Raw genomic sequence first — 12404 nt, forward strand, 5'->3', positions numbered from 1 at the left:
ACTCCCACAAAAGATGCTCTGCAAACTGCGGATGGGGAAGCTGCAGGGTTGAGTGGAGAGGGCAGCACTGGGCCTGGTACACACAGCCTCCCCTCCAACATTCCATGAATGTACTCTCATCATGACAGATGTGTCTTCACTTCCAACAAGAGATCTGGGTACCTCTTGCTGACATGATGTGGCTGACAGCCTGGGCCATTCATCTAATCTCTAGGAGGAAGCTTTTCAGCCTGGGCTTCCTGTATAGCCTCATGGGTCAATGATGTTACCTTACCTCTCTCTAAAGACCGATTCCTTCCAGGTGACTGAAATTAATAAAGAAACTGTCTTTAAGGATTCATAACAGTAAAACATGTTGCCATTTCAACATAATAGTAAAAATGAGAGTCCAAACTCATGGCACTACAGATTGTCATTAGATGACAATGTCTATGGAGTCTCCTCTAGGAGACTTAGCCGCCACATGAGAAGTCTTTCCTCCAGGCCTGATCTGAGGGACCCACCAAGCCAGCTTCTGACCATCAGGCGCAGCATCACACTAAGTTGCTTGCCTGTTGGTATGTTAAACACTCAGTGGTCCTTAGCTTTCCCTGCTTTCATGTGCCTGCAGGATGCACACAGCTCTATCAGGAACTGTGGCGTTCTGAGGCAGGATTCTCGCAAGGGGCCGGGGTTGGGAGGAAAGCCTAGTCTCCCGGGGAAGTACAAGAGGATGTGCTGGTGGAGGAAGGGAGGAGGGCACAATTAAAACACATTTTAAAAAACATGCTGATAGATACACCGATTTGAGAATCACTACAGTGAGTATGTTCACCCTCCATTAACATCTGCTTTCTTATTCTTGGTGGCGTAAAAAAATGCCCACTTACAATGTCTTCCATGCTACATTCTTAGTCACTCACTTAAGACTGTTCCAGTTGCTACGGGACTCCTAGATTCCATGCTTGGCCCCGTACAGCTACTAGGGCTAATATACCACTCCTCACTTGCTCAATGCCCCGCATCGGCAGAGGCAGAACCAGTGCGCTGTGCCCTTGGCCTGGAGGCTCTTGCTCCAAATCTATGCACAGGCTTCTCTTTATTGTTCAACTTTCTGCTCCAGTGTTGTTTCCTCAGAGCAGCCTTCCTGCCCACCCAGACTAAAGAAGCCCCCAAATGACTCTCCAGTCTCTACCATACCATCATTTCACTGTATTTATAAGCACTTATCATTGTTTGATGCATGTATTTGCTGGTTTATTCACTGTCAATCTCCCCCTAACAGGATATAAACTCCAAGGTGTTCTTGCTCAGAGCTTTATTTCTAGCCCTCAGAATAATGCCTGGTGCATTACAGGTACACAATAAGTATTTACTGACTGATGGAATGAATTAATAAATGAACATGAAAAAACACACTTGGAGCTTGCATATCAAAACACTACTATTCTAAATATTTCCAAAAAGTATTTCCAGTAAGGGGCAGGGCAATGACTGATACCATCAACATGTTTCCAGCCTGACAATTTATTAGAATCTTCAATAAGAATAAATTCATAAACCAGGGTGATAAGTCTTCTTACATACTGTAGCAGAAAAGCAACAGCGTTTATTTATTGAGAAAACTTGACTGTAGTTTTGGCTATTAGAATGGCCTGCTCCAAAACAAGAAAGCAAGTTGAATGGGAATGGAATGACAGATATAATTAGAGAGCAAATGTTTTTCGTTTCCTTAAAAGCCTGTAACAATTTCTTCTCTCTCAATAAAAAAAACAAAAAACAAAATAGAATTCATTCAACAAGACATTAACAGTAAGCAACTGCAGAAAATTCACAAGAACCAGTTCTGTAGGTCTTTTAGAGCAGCAGTCCCCAACCTTTTTGGTACCAGAGACTGGTTTCATGGAAGACAATTTTTCCACAAACGGTGGGGGAAATGGTTTCGCGATGAAACTGTTCTACCTCAGATTATCAGGCACTGGAGTCTCACACAAGGAGCGCACAACCTTGATCCCTCGCATGCACAGTTCACAATAGGGTTTGCGATCCTACCAGAATCCAATGCTGCCTCTGATCTGACAGGAGGTGGAGCTCAGGTGGTAACGCTGGCTCACGTGCCCCTCACCTCCTGCTGTGCAGCCCGGTTCCTAACAGGCCACGGGCCAGTACTGGTGCATGACCCAGGAGTGGGAACCCCTGTTTTAGAGGATTGAGAAAGATGACCTTGTTTACAAGACTGCTATGGCTTTTCAGGTTGAGCTGTGAGAGGCAGCATGGCACACAGCACCGGATGCTTGGACAGGGAAATGGATTTTGCCTCTGCTGAGCTGAGAGGTGGGCTCAGGTTTCCCAGCTCCCACTGGGTAGGTGGGGGCAGCAAGGGAACTGCTCCCAGGCCCCCAAAGGAAGCTCAGCAAGTGGAGTCAGGAGCATCAGGACATTTGGAGGAAGAACAGGGGGCTTTTTGGGTTCAAGGAACTAAAGAAAGTCCCCCTGGAGGTCATATCCATAGGGCAGAGGCCAGCACAAAGGGGGAATCTGCAGAAACCGATGTAAGCTCTTTTGCTCTCCTAACTAGACCTTTGTCTCCTGCTTGCCTCTTTGATAGTCTGCTGTGGAACACATCCTAAAACGAAAAGATGTGGCCACATTGCCTGGCTTCTGCCCCCAAGGTAATGGCGGGGCCCATGGCCAGGAGGAACAAGGACCAACGGCCTTTAGGTCACAGTCTATGGGCACACAGGGCAGTCAGTGGCTCTAGTGGAAAATGAAACCCAGAAATGTACAGGAACACAAAGCTCTCTTTAGAGGCAAGGACCTAGAAGGCACTCAGAAACTCTTCCTCAAACACCAAAGAGAGATGTGAGCCCATCCCAGAACCCTGGCATCATCTTGGCAGGGAGAAGAGACAGAGTAGAGAAACTAAGTGTGGGCATTTGCTCAGAAAAAAATGGTTAGTCTATAAGAGACTGAATTGCCTTTAACTGGCAAGTTCAAGCCCTTTGATTATCATTGGTGGAGATGAAGTTTTAGAGCACAATTTCGGCACACGTGAGTTTAGGGACATAGACTTATCATCCCAATACAGTGTCTATACAAGATCTTCCCAAATCATTTTGGCCACATTGCCCGAAAAACCTGTGAACCAGGAAGTCCTAGTCATGCCCTGTTTTGCTGTGAGCCTCTCACAAATCCATCTGTTCAAGAGTGGAAGTGGTGGTGCTTGCAGGGGTAAGTTGAGAAGGAGTGGTGGTGAAGACAAAAGCTGTGACAGGGATCACAGTTTAAGGAGGCACCTAGAGCACGCCATGGAGCCACTGTCCCTGTTTAGACTGTCTACCTATGGGCTTCTTTCAGTTGTGAAAAAAAAAAGTAACCTCTTGATTTGTCTACTTTTTGGAGGGGGATGGAGTTTATGTTATTAGCAGCTGTATTCATTTTCTAGAGCTGCTGTAACAGAGTACTACAAACTGGGTGGCCTAAAACAACAGAAATGTATTTTCTGTCAGTTCTGGAGGCTAAGTCTGAAATCAAGCTGTTGGCAGGGCTATGCTTCCTCCAAAGGTTCTAGAGAATTCCTCCTTGACTCTGCTTAGCTTCTGGTGGTTGTCAACAATCCTTGGCATTCCTTGGCTTGTAGATGCATCGCTCCAGTCTTCGCATCCATTATCACACGGCATTCTCCCTGTATGTCTGTTATCGAAATTCCCCTCTTCTTATAAGGACACCAGCCACTAGATTAGGGTAAGCCCTAATCTAGTATGATCTTATCTTCACTGAACTACATCTATAAAGACCCCATTTCCAAATAAGGTCACGTTCACAGGTTCCAGGTGTCTCACCATAAGTTTGGATGAGACAATATTGGACCTAGTACAGCAGCCAGACTGCCTAATTGTTATACAGGATGAAAAGCATCCAGTTCCTTCAATAAAAGACAATGCAACCTACTAATCTTGTCCTGCATGCAGAATACAATGCTCTGGCCTGATGTGCAACACAGCTACAGAAAGCAGTGCAGAGTGGGTGCACCCAAGAAGAGGGAAGAACTCAGAGCTGTAGTATCACCACCAGCATACCCTCATCTAGCAATTCTTTCGTCTTAATTTATGGACTGAGTCAAGGACCACCTTCTAGGATCTGATGAAAACCATGACTGCCTCCCCTGAAAACCCATGTACATATGAACTGTTCACTTAATTTCAGGGATAAACCTTTTTTTAATCAACTAAGCTGACTAGGCTCACTTTAAGAAATCTAGGGTAAATCCAAATTAAAACAAAAGGGCACCTTCAGAGGCTGTTAGATGTTTTGAGTACAAGAATATACATTTTACTAAGAGTACTGACCATGTAAATCATTTCCCTAACAGTTCCCCTATATAAGGTGGCATTTACAAACATTCTACTTACATATAACCTCCTAGTAACAAATCTACTGTTTTAAGTAAGTTACATCTGCATGTAAAAGTAGACAAACGTAATGATGTCTTTCCATGGCTTAAGATAAAATGTTTACATTTCCAACGTAATACACAATTCTCCTCATAGCCAAAGGCAGAATAAATTTTGCCATAAAGGCTCTTTCTCTTTGTTTCTGTGTAAAAGGAAGATTACACTCTTTATAATCTCCTCACATTTAAGTATTACATATTATAAATGTTGGAGCACTGAAACTAAAGGGGAAACTGTCACATAACTAACCACTTCTGTGGAAATTACACACAAAAATCTCATTCACCTAACAATCCCATGGTGATGCCACTATTTTTAATGAAATGTAGTGCCACAAAAATAGATCTCGAACTCTCAGGGTAATGAAAATGGTAAACAAACCACTTTTTCAATTTCTTAAAAACTTGATTTTTTTCAATGCTAGAATACAAGTGTTTTCAATTAAATGTTTTAAATGGCTGGTGCAAAAGGTAACATAAGCCTTATTTGGTGGTGGTGAGGGTGTTAGTGAGTAGAAAGGGGACAAAAGCAGAACATCTGGCTTTAACAGAGGTGGAACTGGGCAAGGCATTTAACCTTCTTATGCCTGAGGGGTAATAACAGCACCCTCCTCATAGGATGGCTGTGAAGAAACAGGGAGACAGCACAGATCAAGTGCTGAGCACCACACCTAAGCCCACTATGGAAGCTCCGCACCCAGTCGTTTCATTTGTACGTGCCATGTTACCTCAGTGACTATCTCAGCAACCCTTCTAGATGAGAACTGTCAACATATTACAGAAAAAGAAGCCAAGCCCAGAAATGCCAGGTCTGTTATTTGAGGTCTCATGACTTGAAGGTGGTGGAACTGGGATTAGATTTCAGATCTTTCAGACTCCTGAGCTTCATGATTATTTGTATGGCACTGATGAAGGCACCAGAGATATGCAGAGGCACAGGATGGGATATTGGCACTGACTTGATTGCCTTGAGATGTACTGCCTTTTATTCCATGGTGGAACTGATCGAAGTGAGGTCAGCCAGAAACAGGCAGTTACCTATACGCACAACAGATTGTACAATCATTTCTATCAGAGAGCATTTTGGAGCACTGGCAATGGTACCAAAGGGCTTGGGTTTTGATGACCCTGAGATATGATCTTCTGTATGTCACTAAACCCATCAGTGAGATGGGGGTAATACCCATCTCAGAAGGTTGCTGAGAGGATTAGATGAGATAATCAAAGCTTTCTATTTCTGCATACTGTCTTGCAATTACTATTATTGCCTACTATGTTTCCTCCTCCCTTGGTACCTTAAATATTCAGATATCTGGATTCTGTTTTTTGAGGCTTTCTCATCTCTGATAGGAATTTAGATACCCTGATCTTTAACAATCTCATATAAGGGACTGTAGTAGACTCTAAAGAGGAACTATGCATGCTGTTATAAAATAGAGAGGTGGGATTAAGGGAGGCAGGCCCAGTGTGACAGTGGCTTAAGAGGTGGCCATTAGTCAGAGAGAGGGGCAGACCTGTCATTTGTCACTACTGGCTTTTGTTGAACATTGACAAAGGGATGTCTGTGCACAGGGTGTGTGCCATAGTTGTCCAAACCCTAGGAGAAGACATCAAATTCATCATGCAACCTCCAGTACATGGTGTGTATCTCTGTGTGTCCTTGCAAATCCATTCCCCCTTCTAGAAGTCCCTCCCATCTTCCCTATAATGACATGTCCTGCCTTTTCTTCAAAGTCCACCTCAAACTTACCACGTCTAAGCATCAGCTTCCCATTAGCAGTCTTCCCTCCAGTAGCACCTAGTTGTTGGGTCCCTCTTGCTTTATCTCTCACTCTTGGACAATAATTCAATGATGAGGCTCAGAGACTGAATGTTTCCTGAAACTGCACTGTTCTACCTGGCACCAAAGGTGCCAGGTTCTAAATATGGTGCTCAAGGTGTTTGGGTTCTAAATATGGTGCTCTATTCAAAGTATTCTTATCACTTTGAAACCCCACTGCTCCTTGCTAATGTTTCTGAAATCACTAGTACTCTGGGGGAGACCCTGGTTTTCTTCAAGTGAAGCTATGTATCACTTTAGGTATTCCTGAAGAGGTCTGTTCTCTCCTGCTCTCTCTCCCTACCTTGAAATTTTACTTAACTTTTACATATACATTGAACTCAATTTCAGATTACCACTCCACACCTCACCATTCCCCTAGAACCTGTTTTGTCTTTGTTGTTGTTGTTGTTGTTTTTGAGACAGAGTCTTGCTCTGTTGCCCAGGCTGGAGTGCAGTGGCACAATCTCGACTCGCTGCAACCTCCGCCTCCTGGATTCAAGCAATTCTCCTGTCTCAGCTTCCTGAGTAGCTGGGATTATAGGCGTGTGCTACCATGCCTGGCTAATTTTTGTATTTTTAGTAGAGACAGGGTTTCACCATGTTGGTCAGGCTGGTCTCGAACTCCTGACCTTGTGATCCGCCCGCCTCGGCCTCCTAAAGTGCTGGGATTACAGACATGAGCCACCATGCCCAGCCAGAACTGTTTTTACATGAGAGAGCAGGTAACTGGCTAAGTGACCAATGTGAGGCAAGGGCTTTCCTGCTACCACTAGGGCTGATTTTTATCCCCTAAGGAATAAATGTAGGTGAGATATTTCCCAGATGAAGATTTAAGAGATACTAATATGATTAACCGGATCTTAGATTGAGAAGTGGTAGGGGCAGGTGAAGAGAAATTAACATTCATTGATGGTCTATTAAGAGCCAAGTTAATTTTCTTAAAAAGCAAAATGAAGATTGCACAGAAATATAATCAAGGATCCTCTTTGGCATCCAGCTGCCAGAATGGCTGAAGACCCAAAACTCAGCACTGGGAGAGGAACATTACTTAGGAAAATCTAAGGGTAAGACTAGGCAAATTTGCATATTACACTAAAGACAATTCTTGAGGCCAATAGTTCTCTTAAGTGAACTGAGTAAGCGTGGCACAGAGTTCTGAATCTTTACTGATCTCTACTCTTTGGCATATTATTCTCCTAGCACTTATCACCCTGTGCGCCAGAGAGTAACATGGAAGCATGACACCTCCCAGTAAAATCTGTCATAATCATGATATGGCTATAACATTAGGGTCAACCAAAAAAGGAGACTTTACACATATTTTTAAACTTGAAAGGTCTCTAAGTTCCAGTAATGGTTAGATGCCTTTGCCAGAATATGTACTTCTAAAAATAAAAACAGAAACATAGCTGATGCCTTAGTCATATGAAATAATCTGGGGTTTTGCCATCATGCCCTTACTTGGGAGCTAAGAGATAGGACAGCAGTTTGGGTGTGACTGCCTTAAAATTACATCATTTAGTCAAGTAAGACTCTTTGAACTGGGCTTAAGATAAATATATATGTTGTGCATTTCAGGCCATAAAGGTTTTGCTGACATGAGGAGTGAGTAAAAGTTAAGTGCCATTCTGCAGCTAGAATGTAAACATGGTCCAAGGCAATGAACATCAGCCTTTAAATCCTGGTCTGCACCTCCCCTGGCTCATATGCTCTTGTCCTCAGCATGAGATGCTTGTGGTGGCTCCAAAGCCCTTGAGCTACCTGTAGTAAGCCTGTTTCCACAGACGATGAGGTAGATGGGTTTTGTGGCTATTGGATCATTAGCTAAAGAGAGTTGGGACTGGAGAACATGGAGAGGCAGCCTGGTGTGAAAGGATGAAAACAGGCTGTAGAATCAGACAGAGCTGGGACTGAATCCTGCCTGGTTCTGCTATTACCTAGCTGTGTAACCTCCCACCAAGTATGCAGAGCATGCTAAGTCACAATTTCCTCCACTGTACACTAGGGATACTCTCTCTCAACTTGCAGACTTAGTGGGAGATTAGAGATACTGTTTGTGAAGTACCTGGCACTCAATCTGGCACATAGGAACTAATGGCAGTTGCTATTGTATGTGACAAGTATATAAGCTTCATCCTACTGTTGTGTTAAATGCTCTACCAGGAATGAAATGACACAAAGGACATTTGCCCCTTTCAAACTGGGAAGGCTGGTAAGTTGGTATTTTGGTCTTCTATAATAGAGTCTTGCCTGCATAGCAAAGCTGCCAAGTATGACTATAATTGTTAGAAATGATCAGACTTTTATTTAGATATTAAGTTGGAAACCATCATTCTCAGCAAACTAACACAGGAACAGAAAACCAAACACTGCATGTTCTCACTCATAAGAGGGAGCTGAACAACGAGAGCACATGGACACAGGGAGGGGAACATCATACACTGGGGCCTGTTGGAGGGTGAGGGGCTAGGGAAGGGAGAGTATTAGGAAAAATACCTAATGTAGATGATGGGTTGATGGGTGCAGCAAACCACCATGGCATGTGTATACCTATGTAACAAACCTGCATGTTCTGCACATGCACCCCAGAACTTAAAAGTATGATTGAAAAAAAAAAAAAGAAAAGAAATCCAACAGAACTATTACTAACCAGAAAAGTCTCTTCCTTACTGAATTAGAAGAATAAAGACATCATTGAAAAGCTTGGAGCCTAAGTGAGGATATCCTTAGTGGGAATGCTACCCCCTGTGGGAGTGCTACAACGCCAAGGCAGCCACTGGGGGCCACTGTGGTCACCCTTCAATACAGCTTGCAATATCTACATCCAGCAGTTAAAAGAGACAGAGAAACCAAAATGCTAATACACTTTGAAGTCAGAGTAAGTTTACCAAAGATGATGGACTTGGTATTAAATTTTTTTAAAAAAAGAAAGAAAATAATTCAATTTGGGTTCCTCCTGTGGAAAAGCACATAAGAAAAAGGGAAAGAACCAGAAAATGGAAAGCAAAATGATGAAAGTTGGACAGTCTGTACTGAGGCCCTATTATTGGAGTGGTGGCATCCTGGCCTGAAGAGGGATAAGCTAGTGTGTAGTTTGCTAAGTTTTTCTAAATAGGTATAGGGTTGGTATAAGGAAGATGCTGACCAATTGTTGCAAGTCTTCCAATAATAAAACCAGGGGGAAACAACTTCAACTAGAACAAGGTGATGGAGGCTGAAAAAGAACTTCTGAATTTCAGAGGATTGCAGGCTACATCAGGATGCTAGGGGAGGCAGTGGGCTCTCTGCCCAGAGTTTAGGTGCATGCATGTTTGAAGCATGGGGTTATGAATATGTTAACAGGGTTATGAATATGTTAACATGTTTATGAATATATTAGCTGAATCATGTCTAAATAATTTAAGTTCTCTTACTCCTTACTGCTCAGAATCTGTCAAGGGCCAGTAACACCAAGTCATTCAAAGTCTGCTAGAAATGGAGAAGTTCAGGTCCCACCATCAGACCTACTGCATCGGAATCCTATTGAGATGGCATCTTAAATTTTTTTTTTTATTTTTAAATTTTTGCAAGTACTTAGTAGGTGTATATATTTTTGGGTTACATCAGATATTTTGATACGGGCATGTAATGCATAATAATCACACCAGGGTGAATGAGGTATCTCCATCACCTCAAGCATTTATTCTTTGTGTTACCATCATTCTACTCTTTATCTCCATGAGTTCAATTGTTTTTATTTTTAGATCCCTCAAATAAGAGAGAACATGAAAAGTTTGTCTTTCTGTGCCTGGCTTATTTAATATAATGACCTCCAGTTCTATGTTGTTGCAAATGACAGGATCTCATTCTTTTTATGGCTGAATAGTGCTCCTTTTTTTTTTTTTTTTTGAGATGGAGTCTCGCTCTGTCGCCCAGGCTGGAGTGCAGTGGCGCGATCTCGGCTCACTGCAAGCTCTGCCTCCTGGGTTCACGCCATTCTCCTGCCTCAGCCTCCTGAGTAGCTGGGACTACATGCGCCCACCACCACGCCTGGCTAATTTTTTGTATTTTTAGTAGAGACGGGGTTTCACCATGTTAGCCAGGATGGTCTCGATCTCCTGACCTCGTGATCCACCCACCTCGGCCTCCCAAAGTGCTGGGATTACAGGCGTGAGCCACTGTGCCTGGCCTAGTGCTCCATTCTTTATATATACCACATTTTCTTTATCCATTCATCTGTTGATGGACACTTAGGTTGCTTCCAAATGTTAGCAATTGTGAACAGTGCTAAAAAAACATGGGAGTGCAGATATCTCTTCGATATACTGATTTCCTTTCCTTTTGAGTATATACCCTGGAATGGAATTGCAGGATCATATTTTTAGCTCAATTTTTAGTTTTTAGGAACCTCCAAACTGTTCTCTATAGTAGCTGTACCAATTTATGTTCCCACCAACAATGAACAAAAGTTCTCTTTTATTTATTTTATTTTTTTAGAGATAGGGTCTTGCTCTCTCACCTAGACTGGAGTGCAGTGGCATGAGCATCCGCCACCTCCTGGCACAAGTGATCCTCCCAGCTCAGCTTCCTGAGTAGATGGGACTACAGACATATGCCACCATGCCCAACTAATTTTTAATTTTTTTTTTTTAATAGAAACTAGGTCTCCTCTGTTATCTAGACTGGTCTTGAACTCCTGAGCTTAAGCAATCCTCCTGCTTCGGCCTCCCAAAGTGCCAGGATTATAGGCATGGCCATGCTGGTCAGGGTTCCCTTTTTGGAGACGTCATCTTGATATGTTGCACAGGCTGGAGGGCAGTCGCTATTCACAGGCCGGATCACAGCACACTGCACCCTCGAACTCCTGGCCTCAAGTGATCCTCCCACCTCAGCATTCCCAGTAGCTGAGACTATAGGCACGTGCCTCCAACATCAGACTCCAGAATCTTCATTTTTAACAAGATCTTCAGGTGAATTGTATCTTTTCCTCCTATAGAGGACTCTGCTACCCGCAATAAAAAGCGTATTTAAAATTCTTAAAAATAATCACGAAACTCTTTTTTCATAGTGTAGTTGACAGAGAGAAAGCTGTCTGGTGATCACATTTTCTTCCTCACTTTTTCAAATGTCATTTGTTAATTGCCCTATTGAACATTTCCAAAGATATTCATTGAAAGTTGTTTTTATAAACATCAGAAAATTAAGTTTATAAAGTTCTTATGGAGGCAAATAAACTGATGTTCAAAACTGGCCTCCTTTTTCAGCTAATTCATGCATAAATATTATGACAAGTACAAAATCAGTTACGATGGGTGCAATAAAATAACAAGATTTGAAATCCTACTGCTGATTCAAGTGTGGCCTCAGTAGACTAATCAGTGAAAGAGAAGCCAAGGACTAGATTCAGGTCTGGACTCTCGTTGCCAGCTAGCTGGAAGCGTCACTCACCCTTCCTGGGCCTTGGCTTCCTCATCTGCAAATAAAGAACAGCTAGGTTGACTTCTAGGGCTTTTACATCTTTAATATTCTACGATCCTATGAGCTACAGTACTCTCAACAGAAGCATGGGAAATCAAATTTTCCTTCATTAATTGCATTTAACCATCTAATTATCTGTATGACTCATCAATGAAAGGGCAAGCTGCTGGAAACCAAGGTGTCCAAATACCAAACAGATGAATGGAAACACTTCCATTGGGAGCAGGAGGGTATGGGCATTAGAGCCCAGAAGGATGAGCAGCTCATGTATTCCCTGTAAACAGCTGGCAGCTCAGCCCAGCTGCTCACAGATCAGACTAGCGTAGGTTGCTCACCCACGTGCAATTATGTGTGAAGTACGGCATATCTAAAAATAGCCTAAGCTCAGCCACAGAGATTAATACTGTCAATGGCTTTCAACTCACTGTCAGGATGACAAGGAGAGTAACCATAGCAACAGAAAAATCAACATGTAAAAAACCTCTTCTAAAGCTGACAGGAAAAGTTTAGGTTTAATAAAACATATTTTCAATTCCTGTCTCTAAACCTTTGAATTCAAATAATTCCATCACTTGGAGGTAATAAAATTAGAATTTTGGTAGTTTTGGCAACACAAATGGCCTTCTAGTTTTGGGTTCCAAAACTGTGAGGAAATACTGTTAACCTGTCAATTTTATTATCTCTATAATTAAA

General features: G+C 42.6%; 1 protein-coding gene across 62 annotated transcripts in view, besides 3 other annotated features; it reads right to left on the reverse strand.

Moving 5' to 3' along the window:
• The window catches only part of TBC1D5 (TBC1 domain family member 5), a 585470-nt gene that overhangs the window by 10780 nt on the left and 562286 nt on the right, over positions 1-12404 (reverse strand). The window lies entirely within an intron of this gene.
• Positions 1683-2183: an enhancer, noted in NCBI's record as "H3K4me1 hESC enhancer chr3:17211116-17211616 (GRCh37/hg19 assembly coordinates)". NCBI's record gives its function as "activates a minimal SCP1, AML or CMV promoter by ChIP-STARR-seq in naive H9 embryonic stem cells {active_cell/tissue: H9 hESC(naive)}" and the evidence as "EXISTENCE:reporter gene assay evidence [ECO:0000049][PMID:30033119]".
• Positions 8130-8631: an enhancer, noted in NCBI's record as "NANOG hESC enhancer chr3:17217563-17218064 (GRCh37/hg19 assembly coordinates)". NCBI's record gives its function as "activates a minimal SCP1, AML or CMV promoter by ChIP-STARR-seq in naive H9 embryonic stem cells {active_cell/tissue: H9 hESC(naive)}" and the evidence as "EXISTENCE:reporter gene assay evidence [ECO:0000049][PMID:30033119]".
• Positions 11932-11981: an enhancer, noted in NCBI's record as "active region_19567". NCBI's record gives its function as "activates an Ori minimal core promoter by ATAC-STARR-seq in GM12878 lymphoblastoid cells {active_cell/tissue: GM12878}" and the evidence as "EXISTENCE:reporter gene assay evidence [ECO:0000049][PMID:35858748]".

Source organism: Homo sapiens, chromosome 3, assembly GCF_000001405.40.
Source record: "Homo sapiens chromosome 3, GRCh38.p14 Primary Assembly".
In the NCBI taxonomy this organism is placed as follows: domain Eukaryota; kingdom Metazoa; phylum Chordata; class Mammalia; order Primates; family Hominidae; genus Homo; species Homo sapiens.